This window comes from Homo sapiens, chromosome X (genome assembly GCF_000001405.40).
Source record: "Homo sapiens chromosome X, GRCh38.p14 Primary Assembly".
Lineage (NCBI taxonomy): Eukaryota > Metazoa > Chordata > Mammalia > Primates > Hominidae > Homo > Homo sapiens.
Genome location: NC_000023.11, coordinates 89,708,425 through 89,723,091, shown reverse-complemented (window position 1 = coordinate 89,723,091; position 14,667 = coordinate 89,708,425).

The following is a 14,667-nucleotide window of genomic DNA, read 5'->3' as shown; positions in this document are numbered from 1 at the left end:
AATCTGAACAGACAAGTAATGAATAAGAGTGTTGAATTGGGAATCAAAAACTTCCCAACAAAGAAAAGCCCAGGACCATGTGGCTTCACTGGTAAATTCTACCAAACATTTAAGGGAAGATTAATGTCAATAGTTTTCAAATTCTTACAAAAAATTGAAGAGAATGGAACATTTGCAAATTCACTTTACAAGGCCAGCATTACCCTGATACCAAAACCAGGTAAAGACTCTACAAGGAAAAGATAATGACAGACCAATATCCCTGATAGACATAGATGCAAAAGTCCTCAACAAAATACTAGATAGCCAAATCTAACATTAAAAGGATAATACACCATGATTAAGTGGGTTTATCCCTGGTATGCAAGCTTGGCTTAACATATGCATATCAATAATTGTGATACACCACATTAACACAATAAAGGATAAAATCATTTGATCATCTCAATAAATGTAAAAGTTGCATTGATAAAAATTCAACATCCTTACATGATAAAAACTCTCAACAAATTAGGTATAGAAATGTACCTCAACAGAATAAAGGTCATATCTGACAAACCCACAGTTATCATTATTCTCAACAAAGAAAAGCTGTAAGCTTTTCCTCTAAGGCCAGGAACAAGACAAGGACGCTCAGTCATACCATTTCTATTTTAAAAAGTACTACAATTTCTAGCCAGAGCAATTAGGCAAGAAGAGGAATAAAAGGCATCCAAATTGGAAAGGAAGAAGTAAAATGTTCTGTGAGTAGATGACATGATCTTGTATATAGAAAACCCTAATGACATCACCAAATTGTTAGAACTAATAAACTATTTAGTAAAGTTACAAGATAGAAAATCAGCATGTAAAAATCAGCAGCATTTCTATGCCATAACTCCAAACTAAGAGTAGATTTTAAATTTTCTCACCACAAAAACATAGGTATATGATGTGATGAATATGTTAATTAGTTTGATTTATTAATTTTCCAATGTGTACATAAATCAGAACATCACATTGTATACCACAAATTTATACGATTTTAATTTTTCATTTATACTCTAATAAAGTTGGGAAAAACAAAACAATACAAAACAAATTGCAAAAACTCAGAAGTAACCCAGAAGTCCTTCAGTAAATGTTTGGATAAATGGATGAACAAATTGGTATATCCAGAAAATGAACTATTATTCAGGGCTAAGAAAAGAAAAAAAGCTATCACACCAAAAAAAAAATAGAGAAACATTAAATGCTTATTACTAAATGAAAAATCAAACTTGAAAAGGCTGTATACTCTAAATTCCAACTACATGGTATTCTGGAACAGACAAAACTATGAATATAATAAAAGGATTTGTGGTTGCCAGGGGGTAGGAGAGAAAGACAGATGAATAAGCAAAGTACAAATGTATTCTTTAGGGCAATGAAACTACTCTCTATGATATTATAATGATGAATACATGTCTTATATATTTGTCAAAATCCATAGAATGTACAACACCACAAATGGAACCTCATGTAAAATATGGACATTGCGTGATAAATATGTGTCAGTATAGGTTCGTAGATTTTAATGAATGTACCACTCTGGTGTGGGATGTTATTAGTCGAGTAATAGTAGGTCAGTATGTTGGGAGAAGGGTTATATGGGAAACTTCTATACCTTCTTTTCAATTTTAAAATTAATCAAAAACAACTCTAAAAGTCTATTTTTAAAAAATAATTTGGAGTAACATATTTCAGACAATCAGAATTTTTGTCCAACAATGTTCATTTGTTTTCAAAGCCATGAGTCAGAAAAATCATGTATTAAAGACCTTTTAAAAAATTATTTTAACACAATTTTAGATAACTTGCTCTCCCTATCACCATGGGCTAGTTGAAAGTTGACTGTAGTTCCACCTACTCAGCTACTCAGGAGGCTGAGGTGGGAGGATCATTTGTGTCTAGGAGGTTAAGGCTGCAGTGAGCCATGATTGCACCACTGCACTTCCACCTGGGCAACAGAGTGAGTTGAGACCCTGTCTCAAAAACAAACAAACAAACAAACAAAAAAACCACCACCACCAACAACAACAACAAAAGCAAACTTGGCTATATTATGTGAAAAGAAAGTGAAACAAAAAACAGCAAGATATAATATCAATCACCTAATAAAACAATATTTTGAATTTGTTTCTATCACATTGCAGTACCCAAGCAAATGCTCACTGTTTTCAAAGTGGTCATGTCATAATGATGATAGCAATAATTGAGATTTATTTTTTAAATGTGTACTTTTCACAAGAATTTCAAAGCATATAGAAGTTAGATTGTTTTATTGTGCTTCTGATTTTAATAATCTTTTTGTTCCTGATGAGCATATAATCAATAAAGATGAGCATTTGGGTTTATTTTAATGATTACAGTTTTGATACATAACTTTCCTTGAAAAATGTTTGTAGTAACTTAAAGCAACATTTATTAAGCTGCGTTTCAAGGAGGTATCTTCGTTCATAGCCCTTATAAAATTGTCTATTTGCTATTTTTCAATATTAACTTTATTTCACAAAGGTATCCATTTTTTTCTGACAATACTTTCCATTTTCTGTATATTGGATGTGTGCTCATGGGGTAATTAATCCTCTGTTTTTTCACATTAGGCAATTCAGCAAGCTGACTGAATTTTGAAAGGTACTGTCAACTGTCACTTGTCAGAATGGGGAGGGGATGGGAGGAGAGAAAGGACACGGAGTGAATTTAATCATAATCTCAGGTAAAAGCACTCACTTTTAGAAGGGCACTGTCAAAAGCCTGTCTGTGACACTGTTTTGCTCAATTTGTTAAAGAAAAGGAAAATATCACAGAAAAAATAAAAAGTCTTTATCAATCCAACACAGATCCTCATACCATGTAGAAACCAAATCCCAGCTCCAGGATCAAACTGCATACAAGTATATTGAATCTGGCACAAATATATACTATTGTGCAGACTCCCATAGCTCAGAGATAAATTGGTACCAAGGCATGAAAACTGTATTTTTTCATGTCTAAATTTTATTGGTGGTTGATTGCATTTCAAGATAAGTTTTTATCTGTGGTTGTCAGTTCTTTATATGAAAAGCATTAATGATCAGTTATTTACCATATGGAATTTTCCTTCTAAAAGTTCATGCTTTAGAGCTAAACAGAAGGCAAGAAAACCTCATGCCATCCATTTTATTTTAAATAAGCTATGTTAAGATAAATAGAATATATAGATTGAGGAATGATGATTGACCAATGAACTTAGCAATGCAGAAATCATGACCTTGAAAAGAGTAAATGTACTAAAGTGGTTAACATGAATCCATAAATGGATTGAATTCAAAATATATTTGGAAAATATTGGAGCTACTACATAAAGACGTTTTTGAAGAGCTATGTTATAAAGAAGGGAGGCAGAGAAGTTGGTTAATTGCTCAAAGAAGAAATGGAGTAAATTTCAAAATCATAGTTAAACCTCACTTCATCTTATATTCTTTTTTGTTTTTTTGAGATGGAGTCTTGCACTGTTGCCCAGGCTGGAGTGCAGTGGCACAACCTCGGCTCACAGCAACCTCCGCCTCCCGTTCAAGCAATTCCCCCTGCCTCAGACTCCCATGTAGCTAGGATTACAGATGTCCACCTTCCACCATACCCGGCTAATTTTTGTATTTTTAGTATAGATGGGGTTTTGAAATGTTGGCCATGCTGGTCTAAAACTCCTGACCTCAGGTGATCTGCCCACCTGAACCTCCCAAAGTGCTGGGATTACAGGCGTGAGCCACCGCACCGGGTCACTTCATCTTATAGTCAATACTGCTTTCTGCTCTTGCAAAAATATTCGAAAGAATGTATGACAAGGATGGCATTACCTCAGAGCTATGACAAAATTGAATTTTGTCATTTGATCATTCTACTATAAAGACACATGCACACGAATATTTATTGCAGCACTGTTCACAATAGCAAAGACTTGGAACCAACCCAAATGCCCATCAGTGATAGACTAGATAAAGAAAATGTGGCACATATACACCATGGAATACTATGCTGCCATAAAAAAGGATGAGATCATGTCCTTTGCAGGGACATGGATGAAGCTGGAAACCTTCATTCTCAGCAAACTAACACAAGAACAGAAAACCAAACACCACATGTTCTCACTCATAAGTGGGAGTTGAACAATGAGAACACATGGACACAGGGAGCAGAACATCACACACGGGGGGATTGTCAGGGGTTAGGGGGATAGGGGAGGGATAGCATTAGGAGAAATACCTAATGTAGATGACAGGTTGTTGGGTGCAGCAAACCAACATGGCACGTGTATACCTATGTAACAAACTTGCACGTTCTGCACATGTATCTCAGAACATGAAGTATAATAAAAAAAAAAATTAAAAAGAAAAAAATAACTGTGTTGAGGCTTTTTGCCCTTTTAAATGTTTTTTTATATACCAAAGTAATGCATATAAATAAAAAAAAAAGTTGGCAGTTTCTTATAAAAATAAATATGCAATTACCAAATGACCCAGATATTATAATTTAGCCATTTTTCCCAGATAAATAAAAACTTATATTCACACTTATATTCATGGCAGCTTTATTCATAATAGCCAAAATCTGGAAACAACCCAGATGTTCTCCAATGAGTGAATAGTTAAATAAACTATGCTACATATATACCAGGAAATACTACTCAGCAAGAAAAAATAAAATGAATGATTAATACACGCAATAACTTGAATGGATCTCCAGACAATTATTCTGAGTAAATAATGCAAATACTCAAAGGTTATACACTATATGATTTTGTATATATAATATTCTTGAAGTGAGAAAATCTTAGAAATAGAAAGCATATTAGTAGTTACCTGGCACTCAGGTTGGGGTGGGGGATAAAGAGGTGAAGGAGAAATAAACCAGAAACAGGGGAGATCTTCATGGTGATTAAACTGTTTGCATCTCAACTATATCAATATCAATAAAATGTTATATTGTAGTTTTTTTTTTTTAATTTTACTTTAAGTTCTGGGATACATGTGCAGAACGTGCTGGTTTGTTACATAGATACATATGTGCCTTTGCTGCACCTATCAACCTGTCATCTGGGTTTTAAGCTCTGTATGCATTAGGTATTTGTCCTAATGCTCTCCCTCCCCTTTCCCACCACCACACGACAGGCCCCATTATGTGATGATCCCCTCCCTGTGTCCATGTGTTCTCATTGTTCAGCTCCCACTTATGAGTTAGAACATGCGGTGTTTGGTTTTCTGTTCCTGTGTTAGTTTGCCAAGGATGATGGTTTCTAGTTTCATCCATGTCCCTGCCAAGGACATGAACTCATTCCTTTTTATGGCTGCATAGTATTCTATGGTTTATATGTGCCACATTTTCTTTATCTAGTATTTGGGAACCTGCCCCCGATAGTCACGTAGGTTCTTTTCTATTTTCCCTAAGTGTCGGCCGGGTTGAGAAATAAAGGGACAGAGTACAAAAGAGAGAAATTTTAAAGCTGGGCATCAGGGGGAGACATCACATGTCGGTAGGTTCCGTGATGCCCCACAAGCCGCAAAACCAGCAAGTTTTTATTAGGGATTTTCAAAAGGGGAGGGAGTGTACGAATAGGGTGTGGGTCACAGAGATCACGTGCTTCACAAGGTAGTAGAATATCACAAGGCAAATGGAGGCAGGGTGAGATCACAGGACCACAGGACTGGGGCAAAATTAAAATTGCTAATGAAATTTTCGGCACCACCGTCATTGATAACATCTTATCAGGAGACACGGTTTGAGAGCAACCAGTCTGACCAAAATTTATTAGGCGGGAATTTCCTTGTCCTAATAAGCCTGGGAGTGCTATGGGAGACTGGGGCTTATTTCATCCCTACAGTTTCGACCATAGAAGACGGCCACACCCAAGGGGGCCATTTTAGAGGCCTACCCTCAGGGGCACATTCTCTTTCTCAGGGATGTTCCTTGCTGAGAAAAATTCAGTGATATTTCTCCCATTTGCTTTTGAAAGAACAGAAATATGGCTCTGTTCCACCCGGCTCACCGGCGGTCAGAGTTTAAGGTTATCTCTCTTGTTCCCTGAACATTGCTGTTATCCTGCCCTTTTTTCAAGGTGCCCAGATTTCATATTGTTCAAACACACATGCTCTACAATTTGTGCAGTTAACACAATCATCACAGGGTCCCGAGGCAACAAACATCCTCCTCAGCTTACGAAAATGACGGGATTAAGAGATTAAAGTAAAGACAGGCATGGGAAATCACAAGGTTATTGATTGGGGAAGTGATAAGTGTCCATGAAATCTTCACAATTTATGTTCAGAGATTGCAGTAAAGACAGGCATAAGAAATTACAAAAGTATTAATTTGGGGATCTAATAAATGTCCATGAAATCTTCACAATTTATGTTCTTCCGCCATGGCTTCAGCCGGTCACTCCATTTGGGGTCCCTGATTTCCCACAACAATCTAGTCTATCACTGATGGGCATTTGTGTTGGTTCCAAGTCTTTGCTATTGTAAATAGTGCTGCAATAAACATATGTGTGAATGTGTCTTTATAGTAGGATGATTTATAATCCTTTGGGTATATACCCAGGAATGGGATTGCTGGGTCAAGTGGTATTTCTGGTTCTAGATCCTTGAGGAATTGCCGCATTGTCTTCTGCAATGGTTGAACTAATTTACACTCCCACCAGCAGTGTAAAAGCATTCCTATTTCTCCATTCCTCACCAGCATCTGTTATTTCCAGACTTTTTGATGACCACCATTCTAACTAGTATGTATTGTAGTTTTAAAGGAAGTTACCATTGGTACAACTGTATAAAGGGCACACTAGACTTTTCTGTATTATTTCTTATGTACGTGACTGTACATTTATCTAAAAAACAAAGAAACAAATTGCTATCCTAGTTACAAAGTTACAGAAGTTTCATGTAGCCACAGAGACAAATGCTTTCATTATTTAGCTGTTTTTAATTCACTTACACGTATATATGGATGTTTCCTAATATATAAGTTTTAGCCATTATCAGTTGTCTTCCTTTCTTCTTCTTTTTTTTTTTTTTTGAGATGGAGTCTCACTCTGTCGCCCAGGCTGGAGTGCAGTGGCGTGATCTCGGCTCACTGCAAGCTCCACCTCCTGGGTTCACGCCATTCTCCTGCCTCAGCCTCCCAAGTAGCGGGGACCACAGTCACCCACCACAACACCCAGCTAAGTTTTTGTATTTTTTGTAGAGACTGGGTTTCACCGTGTTAGCCAGGATGGTCTTGTTCTCCTGACCTTGTGATCCGCCCGCCTCGGCCTCCCAAAGTGCTGGGATTACAGGCATGAGCCACCGCGCCCAGCCAGTTGTCTTCCTTTTTTGATGGATAGGATTTCACTATTTTATAATATGGCTTACTTTTATATCTAATCCTCTAAATACAGGTATAGCAAAAGTTTTAATAAAATACTCAGTATTACGATTTTATATTTGTGTAAATATTGCTCACTGCAGAGCCTACTGAAATTCTGATTGAGTTTTCTCTTTCATGCAAGCTTTCTTTATCCTGAAGTTAATAATGGCTTTTTTTTGGTCACTTACATAATTCTTCAAATGTACATTTATATTTTTAAATGCTCCATCAAACTATGATATACATGTGAGTTATTTTGATAGAGTTTTATTATGTCAAACGTTCTTTTAAATCCCTTTATATTCTCAACATCTCATTATTGTAGTCCTTTATCCTTTTTCTCCAATCTAAGCTATTTGATTTCTAGGCCTGTTACAGGGATGTCACCTTCTAATGTTTCACTACTTAACTCATTCCTAAACTCCATCGCTTTCTCTTTCTTGATTTATTCCCCCACGTTGCTGGATCAGCTTCTTTAGTAGCTTCTAAGAAAAGCTTCTATAGAAGGCAAAATTTGTGAATCTTCACCTATCTTAAAATATCTATATTTTACCATTATACATGAGCATCAGTTGGACTGGATATTTTAAATTTTAGGTACTACAATATGAAGGTATTTCTTTAATGATTTCTACTATTTAATTCAGCCTTTGAGAAATCCTATGTTATTCTGCTTTTTATTCCTTAGTATACAAAATGTTCTATTTTTTTGTGTGTATGTGGTTGTTAATGATCATGTTGTTTGTTTGCTGAGAAATTTTCTGTTAATTTTGTTAGGTTCTCAATGTTCATTATTTATCTAGATGCTTCCGCTTTTCTGTTCTGAAAAGAATATTTTTATATTATTTCTTTGATAATGTTGTCCTCTCTATTTTTTTCATTTCGTCTTTAGAATAAATTTTTAGTAATCAAATGTTAGACCTCCTGAGTTAACCTCGTTGGTCTTTTGTTTATTTTCTCTAATTCCCATTTCTTAGTCTTTGGTTCTACTTTCTAGGATATTTATTAATTTTAGCTTAAGAAATTTCTAGTGAATTTTTTTGTGTGTATATATATACACACTCACACACATACACAGAGAATCTGTCTGTCCTTATTCTTTGCTCATTTCCTTCGGCATGTTGTTCTCTTATAATTAATGTAATATATTTGTCTTATAGCATATTAATTACATTTTTGTTTTCTTATGTTTTTATCACAAAATTAAATTCATACTTTTATTTTAAAAGTCAAACTATGTATAATTGTAAAAAAAAGTTTATATTCCTACTGAACAATAATGAATAACACCAAAAGAGCCATTTTCAAAAATATCATCTAATATAAAGGACATATACACCTGAACCTTTCTTTCTCAAACACTGTCCTCATATCTTTTCATTGCTGAAACAGCTCAAAGAGTAAATAAGTATGTTTAGTGTCAAGAGTGATCATTGCCAAAGTACATAAATCTGTATTCCTTAGAAAAAGATGTCAGTGAAAAAGCAAATAAACTCCATTTCTCTTCAATATGTCTCTTCATTTCTCTATTCCTTGTCTTACATATTTTGAAATGTTTACCCTCATTAGCCAGAAGATATATTTAGGTAGCTTATAGATTAAAATACAGTGCACAGTAAGATAGTTGTAAATACTAAAGGAAACATATGGAAGAGTGATTAGTAACCTGTGGCCTGAAAACTACAGACAGTCTGACACATTATCATTCCAAGATTTAAGAATGGAAATACACATTCAATGTGAACCTAAAATAATCAAAAGGTCAGAATCTATTTTAATTGGAATTTATTCAAGTACAAAGTTTGAGGATGAGCAAAGCACAGATTTCAAAAAATGGAAGTCAGTGCTTTGAAGTGTAAAAGTTTGGGATGACATGTAAACAAAGTTTATGGAAGTTTAACAGAATTCTAACATCTTTCTATATAAGGCTTAATGCTTCATGAGAATAATCTGAATAATTGAGGTGCTTTTTTTTTTGGAAAGGTATATTTAACATTTCACACTAAAGAAGTGATGTAACAATCATAGGCCTTGGATGCCATCTGGTCTGAGTTAGGTAAAGGAAAATAAAATAGGCAGTTAATCTGTAACAAAGATGAGTGATTGTAAGGTGGAGGACTGCTCTTTGGTCTCCTAGTAATGTACAGAACAAGAACAATGAGAAAGGGAGTTAATTTGTAATTTAAGAAGCAGAATTAGAAAAATGCTGTAACTCAGACTTTAGGGATTTATAAGCCCTTTATATAATACATTTAAAAGAACCTGAAATTTCATTTTCTTTTACATATCCCACTTTTTTTCAAAATCTTTTGGAGAAAACATTGCCTAAGAATCAGGTATTTAGGTAGTGTATTTATGACAAAATCCCATGTCGCTTTCTTTGAGCAGTGTTTTGTAGTTCTTTTTGTAGAGATCATTCACCTCCCTGGTTAGCTGTATTCCTAGGTGTTATATTTTTCTCTGATAGTTGTGAATGGGATTGCATTCTTGATTTGGGGATGACACAAACAAATGGAAAAAGATTAGATGCTCATGGTTAAAAGGACCATACTGCCCCCCAAAATTTAAAGATTCAATTCTATTCCTATTATACTACCATTGACATTCTTCACAAAATTAGAAAAAAAATAGTATTTTAAAATTCCTCTGGAAACCAAAAAGAGCATGAATAGCCAAGGCAATCCTAAGCACAAAGAATAAAGCTGAAGGCATCATGTTACCTGACTTCAAACTATCCTACAGGGCTACAGTCACCAAAACAGCTTCCATGGTACTGGTACAAAAACACACACATAGAAAAATGGAACAAAATAGAGCACCTAGAAATAACGCCATGCACCTACAACTATTTGACCTTTGACAAACATGACAAAACCAAACAATGTGGAAAGGATTCCCTATTCAATAAATGGTGCTGAGATAACTGGCTAGCCATATGCAGAAGATTGAAACTGGACCCCTTCTTTACACAATATACAAAAATTAACTAAAACGGATTAAAAACTTAAATGTAAAATGCAAAAATATAAAAACTCTGGAAGACTACCTAGGCAATACCATTCTTGACATAGGAATGGACAAAGATTTCATGACAAAGACATAAAAAGCAATTGCAAGAAGGGCAAAACTTGACAAATGGGATCCAATAAAACTAAAGAGCTACTTCACAGCAAAAGAAACTATCAACAGAATGAACAGATAACATACCAAATAGAAGAAAATGTTTGCAAATTATGCATCCGAAAGAGGTTTAATATCCAGCATCTGTAAAGAACTTAAACATATTTACAAGAAAAAAACAAACAACCCCGTTAAAAAGTGGGCAAAGGACATGAACACTTTTCAAAAGAGGACATAAATGCGGCCAAAAATCATATAAAAGAAAGCTCAACATCAGTGATAACTAGAGAAATGCAAATCAAAACCTCGATGAGATACCATCTCATACCAGTCAGAATGGCTATTATTAAAACGTCAAAAAGTAACAGATGCTGGCAGGGTTGTTGAGAAAAAGAATGCTTATACACTGTTGGCGGGGGTGTAAATTAGTTCAACCATTGTGGAAGACAATGTGGTGATTCCTCAAAGACCTAAAAACAGTAATACTATTCGATCCAGCAGTCTCATTATTGGATATATGCCCCTAAAATATAAATAATTCTATTATAAAAATACATGCACCTATATGTTCATTGCACTACTAGTCACAATAGCAAAGAAATAATATCAACCTAAATGCCCATCAATAGTAGACTGGATAAAGGAAATGTTGTACATATACACCATGAAATACTATGCAGCCATAAAAAAGAATGAGATTGGATCCTTTGGAGCAACATGGATGCAGATTAAGACCATCATCTGAAGCGACCTACCACAGGAATAGAAAACCAAATACCACATGTTCTCGCTTATAAGTGGGAGCTAATCAATGAGAACACAGGGACACATAGAGGGGAACAACACTCAGTGGGGTCTATCAGAGGGTGGAGGGTGGGTGGAGGGAGAAGTTCAGAAAAAAACAACTCATAAGTACTAGGCTTAATACCTGGGTGATGAAATAATCTGTACAACAGATCCCCATGATACAAGTTTACCTATGTAACAAACCTGCACAAGTACTCCTGAACTTAAAATAAAAGTTCAATTAAAAAAAAAAAATCTGGCAGCTGCAGTGGCTCACGCCTGTAATCCCAGCACTTTGGGAGGCCGAGGTGGGTGGATCACCTGAGGATGAGAGTTTGAGACCAGCCTGACCAACATGGAGAAACCTCGTCTCTACTAAAAATACAAAACTAGCCGGGCATGGTGGTGCATGCCTGTAATCCCAGCTACTCGGGAGGCTGAGGCAGGAGAATGGCTTGAACCCAGAAGGTCAAGGTTGCGGTGAGCTGAGATGGCGCCACCGCACTCTAGCCTGGGCAACAAGAGTGAAACTCGGTCTCAAAAAAAAAAAAAAAAAATCTATGGAAGTCATGTCCCATGAAAGTGAGGAGGATACATCTCACTGAAGAATTTTATGAGTGTCAAAAGACAAACTAGGATGGCAGAACAGGGTGGCAACAATGCAACCTCAGTCAAGTTGCTGATTTATACAGCTGTTGTTAATTATTGAATCATCTCTAATCTTTGGAAGCATTATGGGTTAATTTTCTTGGGAGAAGTAAAACAATGAGAGATACATAGCAGAAATATAGTGTACATAAGGATTATAGTTAAAAAGAGAATTCGTGTGTCAGAACAAAAAACCTATTTCACTGGGGAGTCAACTAAAAACATCATGAAGAAAATTAAAACCCAGTCCTTCTTTATAGACCTGTTGTAGCCATAAAATAATTTGGGATTTAGTCCAAATTGTAGGAAAATAATACAAACTCAGAAATAATGATGAGAGCTGGAATGTAATAATAGGTTTGTTATAATTTTCCCTGATACATAATTTTTCTCTCCCCAGTTCCCCATTTCTACCAAAGATATATCTTAGCAAAACCAACTTACTTGCAAAATAAGTTTTAGTATTTTACTTGGCCTGATTATTTGCATAAACAAGAATAATGAATGGTCATATAGGGTCTTTTAAGTTGACTTTGCTGGAATGTTTTCATAAAGAATCTCAAATTCGACTTCTAAAAGCCTTTTAAGACGGGGAAACCAAGCCAATAATTCACCATTAGACTATGCCTGTAATATGTGCATAAATTGAGTGAATTTCTCTCTTCTTGAGGTCCCCAAATATCTTGAGGTTCCTAGGCTCCTAAGGGAACCAAGTAGATGAGGTACTAGGCCAATCTTTCTAAGGGGCTCTTTATCAACTTTATAAGGTCCACTTAAATTCCTCAAAGCAGTCTCGTCATATCCGTAAAATATGCCATTTCAGATGAAGCTTTGGTTAAATAACCAGTGTTTTCAATTGTGTCCTGTTACCAAGGAAAATGGATTCTTATTGAATTGTTTTCTTGATTCTGGAAAATAAAATAAGAAGTAAATCAGCAATGTTTCAAACAAAAAAGTAATAAAAAATGACTGAATTCTATAACAATTCCATGCATTTAATTCTTATTCTGCTTAATGTTGGCTTAGCATTCCTTATAAAGGTATTTGCTTTTTAATTAGAGTCCTGGAAATGTTTTATCTAGTCCAATGAAAGGTATAATCTCCAAAGTTATCAGAAATCCTTATTTAAGAGTACTTGCCAATGTCCTTTTTCTTTTTATGAATTTCCTTGAAGAAAAGGCAAATTTTGAACTGTAGAGAATTGAAAACCATTTTTTGAAAAAAATCAAACAATAATTGTTTATGTATGACAAAAGACTTAGATTAGTCATGCTTAAAGATGCAATTGAGAAGAAAATTTGGTCATTTCTGTGGCATATAACAATTTAACTTAATAATCCTAATTATGACTGACAACATACATGAAGACATATCAGAATTTAGGAATATCATATAATTTTTAAAAAACATATTAATAACATTTATACAAATATAACTTAAATTAAATTAAACACCATTTCTTATTTATGAATTCTTCCCACATAATTTTAACATACCAAATAATCCTAATATGTCTTGCTTGGACTTCCATGGATTCCTATTTGTTACATTTAAGTTAGTTCACGTAAAAAAAAATCTTAATTTTAGAATTTAAAATTTGATTTGGGGGAGTATGCCAAATATCAAAGATTGGAAACACTTAATATTAAAATTAGGATCACAGGTCACTGTAAAATGTCATTTATTTAGCTAAAATGATAATTCAAAGATTTCAAAAGGCAAAGGGCATTAACCTGATAGAGACTCAATTTCCCAAACAATTAAAAGATCCTCAGAAGATAGAATGAGACCAAAAGGACATGTCTCTCCGTCTCTGCCCACCTCTATTATTGTTTCTGCAATTTACTCAGAAGGGAAACAAATCTTTTACTATCTCTTATTAATACTACACAAAATTCATGTTCGAAAACACAAATTTTACTTTTATATTCATGTATTTAAAATACAAAAGCTAATATTAATAAAACCTTAAAATCAAATTCATCTAATCTCAATTTGCTTGGAACACATATTAGAAGATTTTTATGCAACATTTGTAATATCTTACAATTTTTTTCATTTTTTTCTTTCCCCAACTTTTAGATCCAATTAAAGTTTTTTCTACATATCATTTTACTTCATTTTGAAACAAACTTCAAATAACATTTAAACCAGAAAAAAAAATCATCTTTTCTTTAATAAAAATCACATATTTATGTTTTTCTTATAACCTTTTTTCCAAAAAAGTGTTATTTTAAAAATATATTTTGCATTTAGAATTGTACTTAGTACAATTTAGTACTATCAATTACATATATTAATTATAATATTAACTCAGTAACCCTAAGTTTCTGTGAAAAACCTAGAAAGTAAGTAATTTTAAAACATTTTATACCACTATTTGTAGAAGAATACTATTTTATAATCGGTATATGTATTTATTATTTAAGAGATAAGGTTTTGCTCTGTTACTCAGGCTGGAGTGTATTGGCACAATCATAGCTCACTATAACCTCTAACTTCTGAGCTCAAGGGATCTGGGATTCTCTCATGTCAACGTCCCAAGTAACTGAAACTACAGGCATGCATCATCACATCTGAGTAATTTTTAAATTTTTTGATAGCGATGAGGTTTTGCTGTGTTTCCCAGGCTGGTCTCAAACTTCTGTCCTCAAGTAATCTTCCCAAATCAGCCTACCAAAGAGCTGGAATTACAGGCATGACACTCTGTGCATG